At 49.5% G+C, this 23,898-nt stretch overlaps 1 protein-coding gene across 31 annotated transcripts in view, besides 1 other annotated feature; it reads left to right on the top strand.

The window, feature by feature from the left end:
- The window catches only part of ADCY3 (adenylate cyclase 3), a 101,069-nt gene that overhangs the window by 40,892 nt on the left and 36,279 nt on the right, over positions 1-23,898 (top strand). For 30 of the 31 annotated variants that reach the window (XR_007068865.1, NM_001377130.1, NM_001377129.1 and 27 more), the window contains one exon: positions 6,627-6,776. Coding sequence is in view for 30 of the 31 variants with exons in the window: in NM_001377130.1 (NP_001364059.1) it covers positions 6,627-6,776 (150 nt within the window). In the remaining variant the exon portion in view is untranslated. Of the gene's footprint in view, positions 1-1,319; positions 1,425-6,626; positions 6,777-23,898 lie in introns of those variants that run through there. The other variant, XM_047443015.1, reaches the window with a different exon arrangement.
- Positions 4,436-5,180: an enhancer, noted in NCBI's record as "H3K4me1 hESC enhancer chr2:25097035-25097779 (GRCh37/hg19 assembly coordinates)". NCBI's record gives its function as "activates a minimal SCP1, AML or CMV promoter by ChIP-STARR-seq in primed H9 embryonic stem cells {active_cell/tissue: H9 hESC(primed)}" and the evidence as "EXISTENCE:reporter gene assay evidence [ECO:0000049][PMID:30033119]".

Genomic DNA, 23,898 nt, shown 5'->3' with positions numbered 1-23,898 from the left:
GCCCACCACGCCTGGCTAACTTTTTGCATTTTTTTTTAGTAGAGACGGGATTTCACCATGTTAGCCAGGATGGTCTCGATTTCCTGACCTTGTGATCTGCCCACATCGGCCTCCCAAAGTGCTGGGATTACAGGCATGAGCCACCGCGCCCGGCCCAGTCTTTCAGTCTTACTGGAACAGCCTGTGGGGTTACTGCAAGGGTGAGGAGCCATGTCAGAGAGGCAGGCGACTTGCTCCAGGGCACACAGCCTGCGGGCAGCCGTGTGCAGGTCTATGTGACTGCGAGGCCTGACCTCTTCCCGCCCCTCCATCTGCCAGTTGTTGCCTATGGCTTTCTATGTGCCAGTCCCGGGTGCTGGGGAGCCAGCAGGGAAACAACCCGTGTCCCGGCTGCATGGAGTTTGCTTTCCAGGCGACGAGGCGAAGGAGTGAGGACAGAGAAGGGCAAGTGCAGAACATTCTGTGCTGGGCCTCAAAGCAGGACTGGAGAATGAGTAGGGGTGGGCAGGGAAGGCCTCTGAGGGGTAGGGACATTTCATAGGGACTTAAGGAGCCACTGCAGCAGCCTCTACAGGCGTCTGCAGCGAGAGTGGCCCCAGAAGTGGGACCCATCTGTGCTGAGTGGCGGCCTCACAGGCTCTGGCTGGGCCTCCTTGGGTGGGAGAAGGCTGGTTGCCTTTGGAGGGGCCACCTCCCCTCCTCCTTCCTGCCCCATGGCTGCTAGGAGACTTTTTCCTAAAGCATCTGAGTAAGTTTTAATGACGAGTTTCCCGTGCGGCTGGCCTCCAGCCGCAGAACGTCATAGGTCTCTGTGGGCGACACGGACACTGCACCCTGAGCAGCTTTCTCTTGCTCAGCTTCTTCTCCACAGTTCCAGAGTGTTCTGGAACCTTCAGGCTGGAATGAGCTTATAGGAAGAGATTGGTTTGGGCAAGAGAGCCACCAAACCGCCTCCAGTGGGGTGACTTCCACTCGACAGTCCCACTTAGAGCAGCCCCATTTCCCTACGGGTTGTTAGCAAACGTGAAGGATCTTGCGATGCGTAAACTTCCAGGAGGGAGGATTTTGTAAAGGAATGTTCTCATGGTTGCGTTCTGAGCCGGGATATTAGAAACACTTTATCAGGCTGTCATGGGTTAGATGACACTTTAGTCCAAGTGTTTATCCATTTGGGAGATGCATTTTATTATTCTAAAAATGTTGTATATTTTAAAAAAGCAGAACAATTCTTTTGAAATAAGTTATTTCCAGGAAAACTTTAGGATTAAGAAACTTGTAAAAAGATCTATAAATAGAGACCCCAGGGGCTGTGGACCTCTGTCACCACAGAGCCTGATCGTGCTGTGCAGTCTAAAGGGGACCACGGGGCAAGAAGAGGTGACTTTGGTGGTGTCCAGAGCAGGCTTCTCAACCTCATGGGTTTGGTGAGTCACCCCAGGACCCGGGACTGGGCAGTGCAGTCAGCTCCCAGGTACAGCTGTTGCCCTTGGGCCCAGAAGTAAGGCTTCGAGCGCCAGCTGTCTCGCCCCAGGCCAAGGAGCCTCTTCCCTCTCTGTCTGGTGGTCAGATGGTGCCTGTGTGTGTGCAGAACACTTTGAGCGGGAGCCCTGGGAATAAGTTGCTCTTCATGATTCCAGAGAGGGAGGAGTCTCCTGTGTGCCACTCACCCAGTGTGGTGTCTGAGCTCGTCTTCGTGTTTCAGAGAGACCCCCATCTTTCTTTAATGCTCACGTCTTCGTGAAGCCATCCTCAGCATCACCCTGATTGGATGTGATCTCCCCAACTGTTCACACCTCTCCTCCTGCCTGTTGGTCTGCTCTGTCTGATGTTCTAGATCACTCCCAAAATGTACCCTGTCCGCTGTCCTCAGGGGAGCGACCGAGCCTTGTTCCTCTTTGTTCTTCAGGCGGGGGTGGACTGGGGTAGGTAGGGGATGCTCACTGGAAGGCTAGAAGCAGCAAAGCTGGGTCCCAGGAAGGATCTAGGGCCAGAAGGTCATGTTTACTGATGGCTTCTGCTCAGCTCGCCTGCTGACCAGAGGCTGAAGGGGGGAGGGGTGGGTGGTGAGTCTGTGAGTGTAGAGTCGTAACCCACATCTGTGCCACCCAACAGCGTGAGGCTTCCTGGGCACCTAGGGCTGGATGGGGCCAGGATGGGCTGAGGACACAGATGTGAGGACAGTGCCCACCTTCCCGCACACAGTGGCAGGGCCATGTGTGGGGGACATGGGGGAGGAGGAGGGGCTGCCTTGGGTGCAGCAGTACAAGTGATGGAGCAGATGGGAGGTCTCTGCAGGGCTCCCAGGTGGACAGGAGCCTGCCAAGTGGGCCAGGTTGGGTAGAATGGGATGAGGGGTTTGCAAAGTGGTGGGTGTGGGGAAGGGCCACCCTGGAGGGAGAAGAGTTCTAAAAAGGAAGGTCACTTCTCACTCGTACCTTGGAGTGGGAACACCGGAAAATTAATCCCAGATCAGCAGAGCTCAAGGCCTGGTGCAGAGAAACCCATGTGTCATGGTGACGTGAAAGACCTATTTCAGATTCTCGCTAGGGTTCAAGTTTTCCCCAGAGGCAGAATTTTTTCCTGGGTCTTCAGTTCTTCACCTGTAATGAGAGGCGATCCTGATGGATGCATTTTAGAGGAACGGCAGCTGCCCTGCTTACCCAGCATCAAGTTCTTCCTGCGGCCACACCTGCCTGGCCCTGGGGACAGGGACGATGTCACGCCACCGTCCCTCCTAGGGCCAGCTCAGGGCCCTGCTCATGCTGAAAGAGTGAAACTTACTTTTTACAGACATATTTTGAGGGGCACATTCATTTTGCTAAGTGAGATACACATTTATGAATATGAAACAGGAAATTTCTGAATCTTATTAGCTTAGAGATAATGGCCACCACTGTGTATGGAAGCTGTGGAAATGATAATGGCCACCACTGTGTATGGAGGCTGTGGAAAATCTGCAAGTATTGTTTCAGATTTAAAATGCGTGCAGCTCACACCTAAGTGCTATAGGGCTAGTATCTTCGTGACTATCTAAATTTCAGTTTTAAAAATCTCTAGGCCAGGTATGGTGGCTCATGCCTGTAGTCCCATTGTTTTGGGCAACTGAGGCAGGAGGATCACCTGAGCCCAGGAGTTCAAGACTAGCCTGGGCAATATAGCAAGACCCCATCTCTACAAAGAATAAAATTAGCTGGGACAAGTGATGTGCACCTGTCATCCCAGCTACTCAAGAGGCTGAGGTGGGAGGTTCGCTTGAGCTCAGGAGTTTGAGGCTGTGGTGAGCCCTGAATGTGCCACTGCAGTGCAGCCTGGGCAACAGAGTGAGACCCTGTCTCTATCTGCACCACCGCCCCCCTCCCAAAAAGAAGTCCACACTCCTTTCTGGGAAAAGATGGGGTTGTGAAATATGTAAATAAGTTGAGGAGTGCTTTAGGGAGGGGTTTTGAACCATAGAATAATGAGATTTGAATGCTGGAGGAGATCTCACCCTCTAGTTTTAACACCTTGTTTAATTTAATCTCAATTCCTTCTGTAAAACCAGAGTGACATCACCTGCCTCAGCACTGGTTGTAAAGTTAGAGGAGATGAGGCTGATAAAGTGCGTGCTTGTGTCTAGGACTTAATGTTGTGATGCTGAGGTGAGGATACAGGTGAGGAAACTGAGGCCGGGAGGGGGACTCCCCACCCAGGCTGCACGTCAGTGTTGCCTGGGAGCACTGCTGCCACCCTCGCCTCCCGTCGCTGCGTGAGCACCCCAGGGTGCTGCCACCTTCCCAGGTGACCCTGTCGGGAGCCTCTCCCACCACAAGCGCAGCTCCTGCGGCTCACTCTGGAATCATCTCTCTCAAAGCTGGCTCCTGCTTCTGCCTTGAGGTTTTCTGGGCTTGGCAGCATCACCCAGTGGGATTTGTGGCCTGGCCCTGGAGGCTGTGAGTTGGCCTGTAGGGTTGTGGCTGAGCCTCCCATCAGCTACACCCACGGGGGGTGGGGTGGGGGAGGTTGGGGGTTGCCAAGCTCCCTGCAGGCCTTGTAGCCACGACTTTGTGGGAGAGAGGGACCATAGGGATGGAACAGGGGGCAGCGCCCCAGGGGGTCCTCCTCCTCAGTTGAGGCAAGTTGAGAGAATTGGGGGTGCTTTAGGAAACCCAAGACCTGGCATTCACAGAATTTTCTAGAATCAGCTCACTGGCAGGCAGGGAGGGAGTTCCCTGGTAGGGATGGACAACCTTGCCTGGCCATCTCATAGGGACAGATGGGACAGGCTCTATCGAGTGAACAGCACTGAGCTTGTGCAAGGAGTTACTGTCATTACCCCCTCGGTTGTCTACCTAAGACCTGCTGTGCAGCCCACCAGAACAACTGTCTCAGAAAAACTTCACACCAATCACCAAAGATTATGACCCCAGGCTGGAAGCAGGGTCAGGCTTGGCTCATGCCTGGTGACCTCCTATGTAGGACAGTATTTCTTTCATTGATCTGCAAGTTTTTAAAAATAAAATCTGCTTTTTCACTGCACTTGTAGGTACATACAATATGGGGACATAAATTCGGGGGGAACCCTGGACTCTGATCCTGCCCCTCACCGGCTGGGCAATTTTCCAGGTCCAACCACTACTCTGAGCTCCAGTTTCACCGGTGAGCTGAGAATCAGCTCCCCTCAAAGCTCCCTCCAGCCCTGACACTGTCTGGTCTTTGTCCGCCTCACTTCCAAGGGGAAAAGCAAGGCCAGAAGAAGACCTGGCCCACAGAAGCCCAGCCGGGAAGGAGGCTGGAGGGAAGGAGAGGTGGCCAGCTCCCAGGTTGGCCAGAGAGTTAGGCTGGCTCCAGTCCCGGAGCCTCCCCCAAGTCACAGAGGCCTCCCCTTCCCAACCTGCACTCACAGTTCCCTTCTGGCCCCAATAAGGCTGGCCATTCAGGTGTTGACTGGGTGGCCTGAGGACATATGGTACTGACCACTCAGACAGGGGTGGGTTGTCCTGCCCCAACAGACTTGCCCCACAAACGGGGTAGGCGACTGGGGCTGCTCAGACCCAAGAGGTCAACAGGTCATTACAAGCTGGAACCAGACGCCAGCAGAGCTTGGGAATCTACACCCGGTGACTTGCTGACCAGCACTGAGACTCGCCTGACCTCCTGATTCGTCACGCAACGGGCCCTTGTTGAGTGCCACAGAGGCTGCAGGAACATTCTGCCGGGTGTGGTGGTGGTTGATCCTCAGGGCAAGTGTTGATCAGCTCTGATGAAACACAACACAGTTCAGGGAATATGGCATAACCAAGAGAACCCAGAAAATTCATGTGAGAACCAGCTTCCCTTGTTGTCTGTTAGACCATCTTGTTTAAAAATAAAAAATTGACTTCCCTGCCTTTTTCACCTACCCCAGAATACAGTCTACTCTGAGGCCAATCTTTTATCCCCTGAGGGCCAGAAATTGAGAAATTCTTCCGCTTCTCTTCCCATCTCATTTCTCAACTCCAAACTCGGTTCCGAGAAACCACACCTAGCAGGCGAGGCGTCGGGGATCCAGGGCTGGGAGGGTGGCCACAGCCTCGGGGGAAGGGCATGGAGCTGGCGCCAGGGAAGCTGGAGGAGCCAGACCAGGAAAGAGGCCTTGCTTGAAAAGGCTTACTGAGGCCAGTGGTCTTGGAGGAGGAGGAAGGATTAGCACTTGGTCCAGCCATGTTGGGGCCCAGGCATGGCCAAAGATTGGAGTAGCAGCAGCCAGGCCTGGCCGCCAGGCAGGGTTGGGATGTTCAGATCTGTATCCAAGGTTACCCCAGCAGGAGACCATCAGATCTGCAGTCCCTACAGCCTGTGGAAGTGGGCCAGGACACCTGGGGCATCTTCAGGGTGCCAGGGATGGGGAATAGGCACTTGATGCCCCAGAAGCCCTTTGAGCCGGGGTACTGACCTTGCAGGCAGTGGGGGAGACCTCAAGTCCCAGGACACCCCCACAATAGCTTGAGACCTGAGTATTGGTACTGGGCACCCCTCACCTGCTGGCAGGTGGGGTTAGCTGAGAGGATACCTGTGAATCCCAGAAAACTAGAAACCTATGACACATGTGTAAGGTAAACATTGTGACTGCCGAATCAGCCTGAGACCTCTTCAGGGGTCCTGCCGCATCCCAAGCCATCTGAGCTTTTAGGATTACACAGTCCTGCTCAGTGGGACCTGGGATTTGTGCACCCTCCTTACCAACAAATTGGCAGAGCACCTGAGTGAGTGCTGCTTGAGCAAATGCGTGAAGGAATGAATGGGTGGCAGAGGGTCTGCTCAGGCGTCACAGGTGGAGGGACTGGCCAGCCTTGCTTTGTTGGGAAGCCGGAGGGGGGATCCACAGCCCCTCAGCCAGGCTTGAACGCCTGCACCCTGCCCCTCGTGGAACCCTTGAGCCTTTCAGGCCTTGAGCCATGCCCCTGGGTGGACCACCCATCCGTGGTACATGTGGTGGTGTCTGAGGCTCTGGGGTCCAAGGCTGTGCTGGGCCCCTCCCTGGACATTGGGCAACTTGAGGTTTGATTTTGGTCACCACCCACCCCACCTCCTCCATCCCCTTCTCCATCCCCTTTTCTGAAGACGTGCCTTCACCCCTGGCCTTTTCTCTCTTCTTCCTTGGGGTGCAGATCCTGGCCAACGTCTTCCTCTACCTGTGCGCCATCGCTGTGGGCATCATGTCCTACTACATGGCTGACCGCAAGCACCGCAAGGCCTTCCTGGAGGCCCGCCAGTCGCTGGAGGTGAAGATGAACCTGGAAGAGCAGAGCCAGCAGCAGGTGAGGCTCTCGGGAGGCCTCGGGCCTGGAGCTTGGGCTCAGGGACTGTGGCCTTGTCAGAGGGAGAGGAACCAGAGCGGCAGCCCCTGGCTCCGTGGGGCTTGGCGTTCATCCACCCTGTTCAGGTGTTTGCTTCTGAACTTTGTCTTCTGGGCTCCTCACTATTAGAGGGCAGCTTCTGAGCTTCAGGGAGCCTCTCACTCCTAAATCTGCTTCTGCTTGACCCAGATCTCTCCTCTTCTGCCTTCCTGCTCTTTGTTTTGTTTTCGTAATGTAAAACTTTTCCCTTTCAAGAAATGCATTGCCCAAGCAGCCAGCTATGACTTCCTGCATTCCTTTCTCAGATGACCTTCTCGGGACCAAGGTCAGGGTCAGGGGCATCACGGGCATTCCTTCACGTCACGCCTCCACCACCACTCTTGCTGGTCCAACCGCAGATCCACCCTGTGCACCTGCTCATGCCGTGGGTGGGGCCTTGACCCATCCTGCGGCCTCAGGGCCCTGCTGGGTGAAGTGTGTCAGCCTCACACCCCCACTCAGGGGAGCTCCTCCCTCCCTTACCTTCCCATCTGAGGTCACTGCTGAAGAAGGAAAACCAGCCTGTTCCCCGGGGATGCCCTTGTTTACATTCTCCATCTGGAGAGAGGCCTCGCTGTCCCTGCCTCGGTTTCCTGGCTTTCCTCCAGTCTCTTCCATGGCCGCACCATCCTCCCAGTTCTCATGTCACTCAGGCTTGTACATAGTTTTGGCCTGGATTAATCTCACATGCTTTTTGAAGGTCTCCAGAAATTACACCCACCAATTTCCTGTTATCCATAGGGTTATTTCCCCTTCAAAAACAAACTCAATAGGTTGACACTATGATTCTCTGCTCTGGGAACCATGTCATCTGTGTTCAGGAGGTTCTGTGTGCTCCTGATTCACTGAAATTGCTGTTTTCATAGATGCTGCCACTCGGGTGGACAGGGCCTTGGTTTCGGGGGCCACTCCGGAGCCCTTGGCTTGCAGGAGCCCCACCGTCGGGCCTCACTCACATTCTCTAGACAGTGCTGTTCCGAGGCACACACTAAGTCATTTAGCTGATGGGCCTCCGATTCCACTGTCCTGGGGATGTTTTCTTCCTCCCCGTTTACCAATCTCATTCCTTACAGAAGGCCCCCATAGGAGGGGATTTTCCCTGGCTGCCATTGTGACAAAGGTCCAGGCTTAGTAGCCCATCGTATTCGCCCCTTCCCCTGGGCCCTGTGACCTGTGGTTATTGAGGAGCTGCTGTGGCCTGTGTATATTTAAAGAATCCTCCTTTCCTGGCTTGTAAAGCCCCTTGAAAGGCATTCTTCAACTCTGTTTTTTTTTAATACTGTCTCATTTCTTGTTTGTATCTGATCTCGCACTGTGGAGGCATCCCTCTGGGTTCTCTGCACTTAAAAAAAAAAAATGCATGTGTCACCGCCTAGCTAGGCGAGCATTCTTTTTATATAACATTTGCGCAGTTTTCAGCATGTCTGTCTGCATTGATCTTGTCTGTCTCATATTGTACAATCTAGGACATCTTAACTCACACTGAACCGTCTTGTGGAGGCCCCCTGGTGTGATGAGGAAGGCCCTGTGTTTCACCCTGGGGCTGTTCTCGTGTAGATAATTTAGATAAGTTATCCACCCTACAGAGCCTCACTTTTCCTCATCTGCAAAGTGGAGGTATTGACATTTGTCTTGTAGGTTTCTTGAGGGTCAAATGAGAAACCCAGAAGTGCTTTGTAACCCATAGAGCTTTTTTAGAGGTAGGCCGAGTGCACGGGGCCATGAGGCCTGCTTTCTAACACCCAGGGCCATATGCTTCCTCTGGGCAGGGTCAGTGCAGGGAGCCTGGGCACCAGCAGAGAGGGTCATCCCTGGGTGCCCCAGGGCTCCTGAGGGTGCTAGCAGCCTGCCCGGGCCACAGTGGTGCTTCTCTGCATTGCCTGCCCACGCTGCAGTGGCAGAGCAGACATTGGCCCCAGGATGGAGAGGTCCAGGTTAGGTGGAAGGGAGGTGCAGAGGTGTGGGGGGAGTTGAGGGGTAAGGTGCATCCTCAGGCCTAGCTGGGCACACAGCCGGAGCCTAGAATTCTCCAAGTGGGATGAATTTGTCTAGCCAGGCTCTGTCCTGAGTGTGGCCTTGGGCTCGTTGCTGCCCCTCTTTGGACTTCAGTATCCCCATATGTAAAACTTTTGAGAGATTTTTTTTTCTTTCTTTTTTTTTTTTTTTTTTTGACATGGAGTCTTGGTCTTGTCACCCAGGCTAGAGTGCAGTGGCACAATCTCGGCTCACTGCAACCTCCGTCTCCCGGGTTCAAGCGATTCTCCTGCCTCAGCTTCCCAAGTAGCTGGGATTACAAGCACCTGCCACCACACCTGGCTAATTTTTTTTTTTTTTATATTTTTAGTGGAGACGGGGTTTCACCATGTTGGCCAGGCTGGTCTCAAAACTCCTGACCTCAGGTGATCCACCCGCCTCGGCTTCCCAAAGTGCTGGGGTTACAGGCATGAGCCACCGTGACCTGCTGAGAGATTGTTTTAAGGGTAAGAAGGAATCTATGTGAATCCCACTGGGATTGGTAAAGCACTGTTACCATTGGGAAGGATGGAATCCTGCCCCCTGTGAGTTTCCATTTACCTACATTCTCCTTACGTCTTCTGTCTCTGTTCAAGAGAGAAACCTGCCTGCCATTTTCCTTCCTTTCCATGTGCTTGACAGGTTTTGGTATTACGGTTATGCCCAACTCATTAAATAATTTGAGAAGTTTCTAACCCCTGATAGTTTGAAGATAATTTGGGTTATTCCTTAAATTTGGAAGTCACAGCCAGGCATGTGGCTGGCCTGTAGGTGTGGCCAGGCAGGTGGCTATGCCTGTAATATCAGCACTTTGGGAGATTGAGACAGGAGGATCACTTGGGTCCAGGAGTTCAAGACCAGCCTGAGCAACAAAGCGAGACCCCATCTCTACAAAAAATTAAAAAATTAGCTGAGTGTGGTGGTGCATGCCTGTAGTCCCAGCTACTTGGGAGGCTGAGGTGGGAGGATCGCTTGAGCCCAGGAGGTTGAGGCTGCAGTGAGCCATGATTGTGCCACTGCACTCCAGCTTGGGCAACAAAGTGAGATCCTGGCTTTAAAAATAAAAAAATAAAAATAAAAAAGGCCCTAATGAAGAAGTCCTATAGGCCTGGAGTGTTCTTTAGGGGAAGATTCTGTTTCCGTCATAGATAATAAGGTTGTTCAGATTTTATATTTCCTTTTATATAGGTTTTAGAGAGGTTTTTTTCCCCCAGAAACATGTCCATTCAAATTTTCAAAATTTTGGCATAATATTCTTAATATTTTCTTTTTATCTTTTGTCTGAAATGGGTAATGATGTTCCTTTTTTTCATTACTGAAGATAATTTGTGCCTTTTTAAAATTTTTCTTAATCAGTCTTGCTAAGGCTTATTGTTTTAGCCTGTTCAGCAGACCACCGTTAATCTTTGTTGCTTTCTTTGTACATTTCTTATCTCTGATTTATTTATTTATTTTGAGACGGAGTCTGGCTCTGTCACTTAGGCTGGAGTGCAGTGGCGCGATCTAGGCTCACTGCAAGCTCTGCCTCCCGGGTTCACGCCATTCTCCAGCCTCAGCCTCCCGAGTAGCTGGGACTACAGGTGCCTGCCACCATGCCCGGCTAATTTTTTTGTATTTTTTTTTTTTAGTAGAGGTGGGGTTTCACCATGTTAGCCAGGATGGTCTCCATCTCCTGACCTTGTGATCTGCCTGCCTCAGTCTCCCAAAGTGCTGGGATTACAGGCGTGAGCCACCGCGCCCAGCCTCTTATCTCTAAGTTAAACTTTGTCATTGCCTCTTTTTTCTTTGGGCTTAATTTGTGTCCTTTTTTACCTTCTTAAAATGGAACTTTATTGTTGTTTTTTGGAGACTGAATCTTGCTCTGTTACCCAGGCTGGAGTTCAGTGGCGCAGTCTAGGCTCACTGCAACCTCTACCTCCTGAGTTCAAGGTATCCTCTTGCCTCAGCCTCCGAGTAGCTGGGAACACGCCCGGCTAATTTTTTGTATTTGTAGTAAAGACAGGGTTTCACCACGTTGGTCAGGCTGGTCTCGAAACCTCGGCCTCCCAAAGTGTTGGGATTACAGGCGTGAGCCCCCAGGTCCAGCCAAAATAGAACTTCAGATGACCGATTTTCAGCCTTTCTTTCCTAAAACATGCATTTAATGCTACAGATCTCACTCATTACATTGTTTGAGCTTTATCTCACAAGTTTTAATATGCCATATTTTCAGTGTCGTTTAATTTAAAATATTTACTAATTTTCATTGAAATGCCTTTGATCCATGGGCGACGTAGAAGTGCACTAAGTTCTAAACATTTGAGGATTTGTTTACAATTATGTTGTTTTTTATCTTTATTCTGGTCAGAGAACATACTCTAATTTCAAGTCTTTGAAATTTCTTGGAACTTGATTTTTGGCCTAGCATGTGGTCAGTTTTGATGCACTTGAGAATAATGTATATTCTGCCAAATCTGTCAAAATCTTTAAAAAATGAAATAATGTCAACTATGTCATATTTGCATCTGCCCCAAATTAGTACTTACCTCTTTAGTCATGATGCAAGGACCTCACAACCTTTTAACTTCATTTCACAAGCCTCTGCCCCCCACTTTCTGCTTATTAGTATAATGTGTTTTAGTTCAACATATTTTAAACCCCACAAGTCCTTATTGTGATTATTTTATGTAATATTCTTATTAATATTCTTTACTTATATTTACCCACAGTTTTGCCCTCTCAATTGCTCTTCCTTTCTCCATTTCTTTGCTTCATTTTCTTGAAGAATTCCCTTTAGTATTACCTTTTATGCTGATCTCTTGGTACCAAATTCTCTCCATTTCTGATTACCTAGGAGTGTGCTTATTTTGCTTTCATTTTCGAAAGATACCTGTCTTCATCCGTTTTGTGCTGCTACAACAGAATACCTGAAACTGGGTAATTTATAAAGAACAGAAATTTACTACTTACAGTTCTAGAGGCCGGGAAGTCCAAGATCAAGGCACCAGCATTTGCTCTGGTGTCCATACATGGCAGAAGGGTGGGCTAGCTGAATGTTATGTGATGCCCCTTTTAAAAGAGCCTTAACCCTCATGGCCTGATCCCCTCTTAAAGGCCCCACCTCTTAATAGTATTACATTGGCAGCACCTGAATTTTGAACAGACACATTCAAATCATGCCAAGACTTTTTGCAGATAATTCTAGGCTGCCATTTTTTACTTCTAGCCCTTTAAAAGCATTTCACTATCCTTCCCGCTTCCTTCATTCCTGTTGAAATGCCAGTTGTCAGATAGACTGTTGCTCCCGTTACATTAATGCATACTTTTTCCTGTGGTTGCTTTCCCAATGCTCTTTGTTTTTGGTTCTCAGCAGTTTTACGATGCTGCGCCTGGGAGTTTTCTTTGCAGTTGCTCTGCTTGGTATTCAAAGAGCTTCTTGAATGTTGGTTTGACATCTCTCGTCAGTTTTGAACATTTTCAGCCAGTATCTTTTTATTGCTTCTTCCCATTCGCTCCTTTCCTCTAGGACTCAATATCCTTGTTAGACATTTTTACCATGTTCCAGAAGTATCTCTCTTCTTTTTCTGAATCTTTTTTTCTTTTTGCACTTCAGACAATGTTTTGATGGGCCTAATCTACAGTTTACTAATCCTGTCTTCCTCTGGTTTGTCAGATCAGTGGTTGAGCTCTTTTATTGAGTCATCAATTTCAATTATATATTTTTCTGTCCTAGAATTTCCATTTGATTTTAAAAACTGGACTTAGGTCCCTAACGATGTATTCCTATTTTGTCATCTATTTTTTAGAATATATTAAACATTTATTTTAAAGTTCCTGACTGACAACCATAATAATACCAATGGGTATGCATTTTTTTGTTGTTGAAACCTGGCATCTTGGCCTTTTTTTTTTTCTTTTTTTTTTTTTTTTTTTTTGAGACAGGGTCTTGCTTTGTCACTCAGGCTGGAGTGCAGTGGCTTATGCATCTTCGAGTTCCTGGGCTCAAGCAAAACTCCCACCCCAGCCTTTTGAGTAGCTAGGACTGCAGGCGTGTGCCACCATGCCCAGCTAATTAAAAAAATGGTTTTTTGTAGAGATGGAGTCTCACTGTGTTGCCCAAACTGGTCTCAAACTCCTGGCCTCAAGCAATCCTCCCACTTTAGCCACCTGGCATTTTTAAAAATTAAATACTAGATATTGTGGATGGGAAATAGTAGTGCTTCTGAATAATGTTGTGTCTCTCCAGGGAAGATTTACTTTTCTTGTGGCAGATGGTTAGAGCAGGGGCAGATAGGAAATAGCTTCTCAGGGGTCTTACCTGAAAGGCTGGTGCTTTTCTCATGGTATCTTGAACTCCTCAGCAATGTGAGGCTACTGAAAGCTTAGCCTCTTAGTCTCACTTTCTGCTTGGATTCTTGGTCTCTTGCCCCATGCAAATACTAAAGGGTAATAGTGTACAGAAAGTCAGACTCACTGTTGTATGGTTCTCTTTCCCCGGGGTCTTAGCCCCTCTACTCTCTCTGCCTTGGAATCCTTGCTCACAGTCCTTGTTTCTCCAGCCCCTTGAAAGCCCTCATCATTGCTCTCTCTCCAGCCTCTCGACCCTGGTCGCAAGGGAAAAGTGGTGGAGTGCATTGGGCTCACTTAAATGTGTTTCCCTTCCCCTGAGATCTTGGCCCCTCAAATCCTGGCTGCTTTGGTTGTTTCCATTGCCTTTAAAGAGCTAGGTTCTTTTTATGTATTTTATCCAGCTTTTATAGTTGTTCTTGGCTGGAGGGTTGGCCTGCTATAAGATCCTCTATAGCAAACGTATACATGTATAAAATCGTAAAAGTATGAAAAAGGGTATACTAGGAAAAGTAAGTCATCCCACCTTCATTTCCCCTAGCCATCCAGCCCCCATCCATGAATCACCAGTCACTATTATCTTTTTAATGTACCCTTTCAGAGGTTTATAGAATTTTCACACACACACACACACACACACACACACACACACACACACACACAGATGATAGCCTATTCACTCTTTTGTACTAAATCTATTTTTCTTTTTTTGAGACAGAGTCTCACTCTGTTGCTGAGGCTAGAGTGCAGTGGTACAATTTCGACTCACAACTTCCGCCTCCTGGGTTTAAGCGATTCTCCTACCTCAGCCTCCCAAGTAGCTGGGACTATAGGCATGCACCACCACGCCTGCCTAATTTGTGTATTTTTAGTAGAGATGGGGTTTCACCACGTTGGCCAGGCTGGTCTTGAACTCCTTACCTAAAGTGATCTGCCCGCCTCGGCCTCCCAAAATGCTGGGATTACAGGCACTAGATCTTTTCACCTACTATCTTAGAGAGCATTCTAAGTCTGTATTGCATTGCCACAACCTTCTTAATGACTGTGTTCAGTCATTATACAAAAGTAACAATTTATTTTGTTGCGCTCTCCATAGATTTCTAGGTTATTTCCAATCTTTTGCTACTGTAAACATTGCTGTAATAAATATCCTTGTAGCGGTATTTATTATATCATAGTATATATGTGCAAGTGTATCTGTGGAAGAATAAAAACCTAGAAGTGGAATTGCTGGATCAAAGGACATTTGCATTTTAAAAATTATATATATAGCTACTGTAAAATATACATAGTATAAAATTTACCATTTTAATCATTAAGTATACAATTCAGTGGCATTAAGTGCATTCACAATGTCGTGCAGCCATCACCACTGTCCGTTTCCAGAACTTTTTCATCATCCCAAAGAGAAACTCTGTGCCCATTAAACAATAACTGCCCATTCTCCCAGACTCTGGTAACCACTGTTCTACTGTGTCTCTGAATTTGCCTCTACTAGGTCCTTTATATAAGCGGAATCATGTATTTGTCCCTTTTTGACTGGCTTATTTCACTTAGCATGATGTCTTCAAGGTTCTTCTGTGTCGTCGGGCAGATCAGCATTTCTTTCCCGTTAAGGCTGATATCTCCTTGCATGTATACACCACGTTTTGTTTGTTCATTTGGACATTTGGGTGTTTTCTGCGGCTTTGCTATTGGGAATGGTGCTGCTGTGAACACGGGTGTACAGATATCTGTTTGAGTCCCTGTTTTCAGTTCTTTTGGATATATACCCAAAAGTGGAATTGCCAGGTCATATGGTAGTTCTGTGTTTAATTTTTTGAGGAATCTGGAATGTGCTTTTTTTGTTTTGTTTTGTTTTTTTGAGACAGAGTCTTGCTCTGTCGCCCAGGTTGGAATGCAGTGGTGCGATCTCAGCTCACTGCAGCTTCCGCCTCCGGGTTCAAGCTATTCTCCTGCTTCAGCGTCCCGAGTAGCTGGGATTACAGGTGCCCACCACCACTCCCAGCTAATTTTTCTTGTATTTTTAGTAGAGACGGGGTTTCACCATGTTAGACAGGCTAGTCTCGAACTCCTGACCTCTGGTGATCCGCCTGCCTTGGCCTCCCAAAGTGCTGGGATTACAGGCATGAGCCACCACGTCCGGCCTCCTATAGAGCTTCAAACAATTTATACTCCACCAGCAATGAGTGAGAGTATACTTAGGCACTTAAGTTTTCCTTGTTTATCTAGAAAATACCTCATTGCTTTTGGAAACCCTCCCCAAAGGATTCCTATTTGAAAACCCCAGCCCCAGGGAACCAGCCTCAAGGCAGGAGTGACATCCTGTGGGCTGTTTCCTGCCTTATCCTCATTTGGCTCAAGCCACAGACAGATAAACTCAAGTTTGGAAGAGTTCCTTTGCTTTCTTGGCCTACACTGTGTAATATTTGGCAAGAATATACAATTATAAAGAAATAAAAAAGAGGTTGGCATAGTGGCTCAACGCCTGTAATCCTAACACTTTAGGAGGTTGAGGCAGGAGGATTGCTTGAGGCCAAGAGCTCAAGACCAACCTGGCCAACATAGTGAGACCTCCATCTCTAAAATAAAAGACTGATAGAGGCTGTATTAGGGTTCTCTAGAGGGACAGAACTAATGGAATAGATATCTATGAAGGGGAGTTTATTAAGTTTTGACTCACATGATCACAAGGTCCCACAATAGGCCATCTGCAGGTAAGAGCAAGGAGAGCCTGTCCGAGTTCCAACACTGAAGAACTTCAAGTCCACTGTTGGAGAGCTGGATGCATCCAGCACAGGAGAAAAGTGTAGGCTGTATGGAGGCTAGGCCAGTCTCTCTTTTCACCTTTTTCTGCCTGTTTATATTCTAGCAAACTGGCCACTGATTAGATTGTGCCCACCCAGATTTAGGGTGGGTCTGCCTTTCCCAGCCCACCGACTCAAATGTTAAACTCCTTTGGCAACACCCTCACAGACACACCCAGGATCAATACTTTGTATCCTTCAATCCAATCAAGTTGACACTTAGTATTAACCATCACAGAGGCATATTCCTTCAAGCCTTTTTTTTGGTCCTGATATTTGAGAGTGTCCTAGCCATGTTTTATCCTGATTAAGAGATTATAAATGTAACACCTTCCTCTCACATAGTATAGCAGCTGAGAGCCAAGTACCAGAGTCTCTGCCCCTCTCCTATGGCCTTAGGGGAGATAAGTGTTAAGTAGTTATTGCACAGTGCCTGCACATAGACACTCAAACTCTCTACCATCATATGATTGTTGGATACAATTTTGAAGATATAGAAAAGTAGAAGAGGCCACCAAAACCTCCCTTAATCTGGGACTTTTTTTGAAAAATAATTTTTAAAAATGAATATGGTATTATAAATTAGATATGCAGTTAGAAAAACTCAGGTTTGCTTCATTTTTTTTTCTTTTTTATAGAGCTAAAATGAAACCCCTTGAAAGTGGTTTAGTACACTCACCATGTTGTGCCACCACCACCTCTAGCTAGTTCCGCAACATCTTCCCCCAAAAGAAAACTTGGGACCCGAGCTTGATTTTTATTTGTTTTTATTTTTTTTAATTAATTAATTTTTTTTTTTTGAGGCGGAGTCTCGCTCTGTCCCCGAGGCTGGAGTGCAGTGGCACGATCTCGGCTCACTGCAAGCTCCGCCTTCCGGGTTCACGCCATTCTCCTGCCTCAGCCTCCCGTGTAGCTGGGACTACAGGTGCCCGCCACCATGCCCGGCAAATATTTTGTATTTTTAGTAGAGACGGGGTTTCACCGTGTTAGCCAGGATGGTCTCGATCTCCTGACCTCGTGATCCGCCCACCTCAGCCTCCCAAAGTGCTGGGATTACAGGCGTGAGCCACCGCGCCCGGCTACCGAGATTGATTTTTAAAACCAGATAGAAAGGGACCTGGTGAGCCCTGGGACAGGCCTTGCACGTGAGGACAAGGGACCCAGACCCTAGCACAGTCCCACAGTCCTATGCTCCAGCCTCACCTTGTGGTGGATACCTGTCTGTACTGGGGGTTGGGGAGGGATGACCCCGCTGGTCATCTTGGACCTGGATTTGCATCCACAGCCTCTGCCAGCGTTTTTGGGGGACTGTGAGCCCTGGCTTTCTCTGTGTGGTGTTGGTACTTTACCTCTCTGGTCTTTAGTTTAATTTTCTGAAAATGGGATTAAAAATAATACCATTGTTAGGGGATAGTTTGGGAATCACATGAAATAAGGCAGAGGGGAGTCTAAAAACCATGAAGCCCTTTGGGGCTCCAAGATGCCGTCACGCTGGCCCCCAGCCCCTGGGGAGGCACCGGCTGAAGTCAGGGTGGTGAGGTAGGATGGGAGCTGGCTGGGGCCTGTGCATCCTTCCCCTTCTCTCTTCCAGCCAGGACAGAGGTCACTCCCTCCCAAGGCATTGGGGCTGACGTTGGGAGTGGCGTGGGCTCTGGGCTGATTTGACGTTTCAGAAACATCAGCTGACGGGTCTTCGGAGCTGAGTGCAGGCCGGTACTAGAGGCTGCATGACCCCGTTTCACTTTCCTCCTGTAAAAGCTCCTCATGAGAATAAAAATGAGATAATAGATGGAAAAACACTTTGGAAAGGGCCGCAGACAGTCCTGGTATGAGAGGAAACAGAACCTGGTTTGGAAGTGGCTCCAAAGAGCCATTTGAGGTCAGTGTCAGAGCAGGCCATCCCTTACTTACATGTGTGCTTAATGTCTTTTTTAAGAAAATTCTCCATTTAAAAAAATTATGAGTGTCTCCTATAAAAACAATCGTTAATCTACCCTCTGCAAAAAAGGGGCCTCCTTCCAGAATTGAGTGCCCAGGGTCCATGTCTCACTTTTTATTTGGTCAGGTGCTCTTATCTTTTTTTTTTTTTTTTTTTGAGATGGAGTCTCACTCTTTCGCCCAGGCTGGAGTGCAGTGGCACGATCTTGGCTCACTACAACCTCCACCTCCCAGGTTCAAGCGATTCTCCTGCCTGAGCCTCCCGTGTAGCTGGGACTACAGGTGCCCACCACCACACACAGCTAATTTTTGTATTTCTAGTACAGACGGGGTTTCACCATGTTGGCCAAGCTGGTCTCAAACTCCTGATCTCAAGTGATCTGCCTGCCTTGGCCTCCCAAAGTGCTGGGATTGCAGTCGTGAGCCCCATGCTCGGCTATTTATCTTGTTTTCTAAGCTGCCTTAAGAGTGTGCGGCTGAAGGGCAGCCCTGGCCATGTGGCTGTCCCAGCAGGTGTCTCCTCGCTGGGCCTCAGCTTCCTCCTCTGCTGTGAAGTGAGGTGTAGGGATGCGCTGGTGACCTGAGCCCGCTCTCTCTCTTGCCATCCCCTGGGAAGTTGTACCTTCTGTTATGAAGATGACCAGCCTCCTAATGACAGTCAACTCCCAGATGGGTGGGCAGCCAGCCATGGTCCAGGAGGGTGAGGCGGCACAGTCCCTCAAGCACAGGCATCCCTTTCTGCCTCCTCACTGGGGTGAGCATGTCCACATGTCAAAGGGTGCATTGAGGCAACAGAGCATTTGGGTAATGGCAAGGGTCTCAGATTCCAGTGGCTTTGCTGCTTTAACCTCCCTGGCTCCAGTCTCCTTCAGGGAGGTAGTGGAGCCTGCCCTGCCCTGAGGCCTTGTGGATTTGGAGCTCTTGGTGCAGCCCTGGCATGCGAAGCGTCCTCTTTGCCTCTGCCGAACACATATCTGGCTTCGCAGGCAGTGCCATGGCGCTTCCCTGTGGTGCGGGGCCGCCAGGGTGCATGCTGACCTTGGTCCAGCCTCCCGGCTCTGTGGGCATGTGAGGGTAGAGCAGGAGGCCCAGAGGACAGAACTGGAGTTGTTTGTCTTTATTCCCATGTGACCACACTTCAGGGGTTAGTTGGGGACCTTGAGGGTTGCTAAGCACCCCAGCCGCCACCTGGCAACAGGCGGCACCCAGAAAACCCACTCAGCACACACCTGCTGCCAGGTGGAGCTACAAAACTGAGCCTCTCTGAATCATACTCAGAATCACTTCCCAGGGATCGGAACATGGTTGACGGAGGATGTGGGAAGATGGAGGGATGACAGGGGCAGGCCTATGCTTCCTTCACACGCGTCCTGTGTGGTTAACTGGCCCTGTGCCTGGTCCTCCCTCGGAGGTGAGGACTGTCCACAGTGCCCACCCTCAGACAGGAGGATGCTGCAGCCAGGGCACGTAGAGGGAGAGCCCAGGGCAGACTGCACAGGGTCTAGGGTAGAAAGCCATCCCCATCTTCACCCTTGGGATCCTGGGGAGACAGCTGAGGTGGACGCTGGGTGGGTTTCCATTCAGGTCTTGGGGGACTGCACAGAGACACAGCTGCCTCTCCCCACCTCTCCTTCTGCTTTAACCCACGTGCAGGGTCACCTGTTACTAGGGATGGTGTTTTTCCTTCATGCCGGTCTTACAGGGAAGAACCGCCCATTGACCACAAGCGTCAGGCCCCTCTCCTGGGAGCCCCGGAGCTTGGGACACTGGGAGGCTGCCATTTCCTAAGCTTGGATTGTATCTCTTGCTTTTCTGAATGTTCTTCCTCTGTAACCTTTGCCCAAGCCTGGTCACTGTTTCCCCCAAGACCTTTTGCTATTAGGACAAGGTGTCATCAACCCTGAGCCCTGTTCTTATAGGCGCTTGGTAGGGGAGAGGGGAGTCAGAGCCAGAGGCCAGTTGCCTCTTGGCCTGGGGTTGGGCTTCTAGTGCCAAGCCCCACCATGCCACTGTTATCCTGGCAACAGTGAGGTCGGGGCAGGGGGACCACTAAGAGTGGGAAGAGGAGACGAAGCTGGTGTCGAGTGGGAGGGCTGTGCCTCTGCCTGTGGATCCATAGCTGCTCTGCGTCTTGCTCGTTGCACCGTGGCTGCATCATGGCATTCTCCGCGTCTAATGTAATGGGTCAAATCCATTGTCTGCTTCACAGGAGACACACAGACACGTCCCCACCCCCAGCATCAGCCTTGCATTGTACTCGCTATCTTCTTCACAGAACCACCCACAAAGATATCTAATATTTTTAGTTTTTCTTTTAGCCTCGAATGCCTCTCAGTGTGAGAAAAGCCAGGTGCGTTCCCCATAATGCGAAGTAGGCACTGGTCCTTCTGTTGGTTCCAACTCTCACCTCTTGGATGTCACAGAATGCTCTTCATTTCAACATTCCAGGACTTAGCAAAACAAATCCACATTTCAGATAATGCAGATGATGAACCCATAGAAAACAGGTTGTCCTAAAGCAGTGGTGGGTTCCTGGTGGCAGTGGGAGGATGTTGGCTGTGTCAGGGTGGACCTGAGCAGAGCTGGTGAGGACAGTCCTGCTGACGGCCCATGCATGGGCTGTGTGGCCTCTGAGCTGGGCTCTGCTGGGCTGTGGCAGGTCTTAAGCCTTTGCCACATCCTCCAGCAGAATTTTTCTCCAAACAGTTGTAGAATTGCTGGAGAACTGTAGAGTTGTAGAATTGTAGAATTGTGCATTGTGGCCAGGGTTGTGGCGCATTTTATATTTATCTGGCTGTAAGAATGAAGTTTTGTTAGTAATGAGTGTAGTTTTATTGAACATTTATTTTGTGCCAGGCCCTGGATGGTGTTTTCATTGGATTATTTCATTTAATAATGAGATCTCTCATTTACCAGCTGGCACTTCCTCCTGGCTCTATTTGGGAGATCTGTTAATTAACAGGAAGAATCAGTTAGGTAGTCCTTGGACCACAGCTGGCCTGTGGGTATCTGTTTTGTTTGACCTTCCCAGAGTGTTAACATTTTCTAATACTTAAACATTTGTACATTCTGGATAAAAACCTGGATTTTTGACTCACTTAGAAAATGGAAAGATCTGTCAACAAAGGTTGCAAGTAAGACTTGCATTCACATTCTAACTGGGTCACTGAGCCCCTCTTGAGCCCAGGAGTCCAACACCAGACATGGCAAGACCTTATCTCTACAAAAAAACTTAAAAAAAATCCAGGCATGGTGGTGGTGCGCACCTGTAGTCCCAGCTACTTGGGAGGCTGAGGCGGGAGGATCACCTGAGCCCAGCAAGATCAGTGTGCAGTGAGCTGTGACTACACTTCAGCACTCCAGCCTGGGAGACAGCGGGACCCTGTCTCTTTAAAAAAAAAAAAAAAAAAAAAAAATTCAGACCACAAGTATTTCAGGACTTTTCTAGGCACTGGGGATACAGTTGTGAGCAGAACAGATTCTAGTGTGGGCAACACACATTAAACAGACGAGTATGTGCTATGTCAGGAGCTGGGAAGGGCTGTGGAGAGAAAGCAGAGGACGGAGCTTAGGGAGTGCCGTGGGTAAAGGTGGAAATTTTGTCGGTATAATTTTCTTGGGCCTTTATGCCCAGGGTGGTACTGAGTTGCTGCATCTGGGTCAAGGAGAGAATGCAAAGGGTCTGCTTTCCGCCAGTCACAGATACGAACCCTCCGCATCCTTCTCAACACAGGGCTCGAGGCAGCTGCTCTCTGCCCATCAGAGTTGGCACAGTACTTGTGACTACAGTGTTCTAGAGCTGCAATAGGTAGCAGTATGGTAGCCACTTGTCATATGTAGCTATTTAAATTAAACTTAATTAATTAGAAAATGTTAGTCTTTCAGTAGCACTAGCCACATTTCATGTGCTCAGTAGCTAAATGTGGCTGCCATATTGGACAGCAAAGATACAGAACATTTCTGTGATTGCAGGAAGTTCTATTAGCGCTGTTCTAGAGGATGGTGGCTTGCCCCTTGGGCCAGGTCTCCTAGTTGACAGCTCGTTAACTCTTCAAACCTCTAAGGAGTAGTACCTGCTCTTTGCCAAATAATTCGTGGTGAGGGCTCCAGGTACCACACACGTGGCCATCTTTGGGCCCAGTGGGCTGTCTCCTGAGACTGCAGTCACCTTGGCCTACACGGTGGCCCCTGTCTCTGGGGACTGCACAGGAGACCAGGCCAGTGACCAGAAGTCCCACATGTTCGGTGTCCCCTCTCCTGCTCTGGCAGGGTAAGAGCTCTGGGCTGACCCTGGGTCTGTGTGATTTCCGCACTGTTCCAGATGACATGGCCTGGTGGCTTGTTAGTCTGGCCCCGCCAACACTGAGATTAAATGTGGCCCTGCTTCTCTTGGGGCCTGTTGATCTGGGGACTCTGGGGACACTGGTCTGGTGCCTGTTCTCATGCTGGAGGCCTTGTTTCCAAATATGCTGACTTTTACAGTTATGCAGCTCCTCCCTCCTCTACGTTCCTACAGCATTTGGCTGAAGACTGTGAAGCACTCCTGCCCTGGGAGACCAGTCTCTCCCACGTGTGACCATTGCCCCACCCATCCAAGCTCTTTGGAGTACTGTTTACCTTTGACCTTCCCAGCATTTAGCTCAGGGACATGCATAGATGACCAGTGACTGTCCTTCGAGTGACTGAGGTGGGGAACACATCTCTTGGGCAGGGGCAGCACACGTGGGCCCCCTAGTCTAAATGGCGGCAGTATTGGAGTTTCCAGATTTCACACATTGTGGTACTTCGTCCCCTCATCCGGGAGAGGTGAGCTGTTTGGGCTCTGGCCTCCCAAGGTTACTAGGCCTGGTCCTTCTCTCCATTCCCTGCCTCCCACAGCCCCCTCTGCTTAGGTAGTCAGGCCATGATGGACGCCCTGGTGGGGTGCAGTGACTTTTTGGCTTCCAAATTGGCTGGACACTCTAAGAATCTGGATTAATCGGGACCAAGACAGACTGGTTTGTGAAACATCTGTGGGTATGCTCACAGCCTGTGATGGGTTACAGTGACATGTATTTGTCAAGCACATGGCACTTAGAACACATGAACACACATGGACACACCTACCCTACAGACAAACAGACTTCATATACATACCTCATGCAGACACTGTAGACAGTAGACACGTACATGCAGCTGCATGTGTGTACATGTGCAAGCGCTAACGCATGGACACACACACACACACTCTCCACATTCACACTCATTCCCAGCCACCTGAGCACTATGGGTCTCTCTCGACCTAACTGTCTCCCTCTTACAAGGATGTTGTAGAAACTTAGCTTCTCACCAGCCAACCTCATTTATCCAAATCCCTCCTGGCCTCCTTGCTGTAATTAACTCCTGAATGCCTCATCAGAGCCTCAGCTGTAACAGCTCGGGCCCCTGGGAACAGTGCTGGCTGCCTCCCCCTTCTATCTCTGTCCTGAGCCAGTGCGAACCAGGCCTGGCATGAGTCATCCCTGAGTAGAAGGGGGCTTGGGTGGTTCCTTCTCGGAGCCCTGTGGAGGCCATGCCGACAGATTGCCCTGGGGTGAGAAGCTCAACACATCTGCTCTCAGCTGAGATCCCAGCCCAGGAGGCCCAGCATCTTGCCCCAGGCCCTTCTCAACTCTCTACCCCACTGCAGGCCTGGGTGCTTCTTCCCAGGATCTGGGCAGGTTCTTGCTTTACCCAGGAAACCTACTAGGAACTTCCAGGGCTTGTTGTTTTTTCTCTGGACTTTGATTCTTTTCCCAGAGAGGGTCAGGGCCTTGACTTTTATTACCATGCTGTATTTTTAGGATAACCATCAAGGACTTGAAGGCTGAGGAGAATGAAGACTTTACCCTCCTTCTTCTCTGTGCAGAACCACATCTGGGCACCCAGGCCTCGGCCCCCAGGGTTTGGCCACATCCCCCTCCTCCGGTCCAGCCTTCCAC

Source organism: Homo sapiens, chromosome 2 (genome assembly GCF_000001405.40).
Source record: "Homo sapiens chromosome 2, GRCh38.p14 Primary Assembly".
Taxonomy (NCBI): Eukaryota; Metazoa; Chordata; class Mammalia; order Primates; family Hominidae; genus Homo; species Homo sapiens.
The sequence above is the reverse complement of the archived record's forward strand: the minus strand, read 5'-3'. Positions and strand labels throughout refer to the sequence as shown.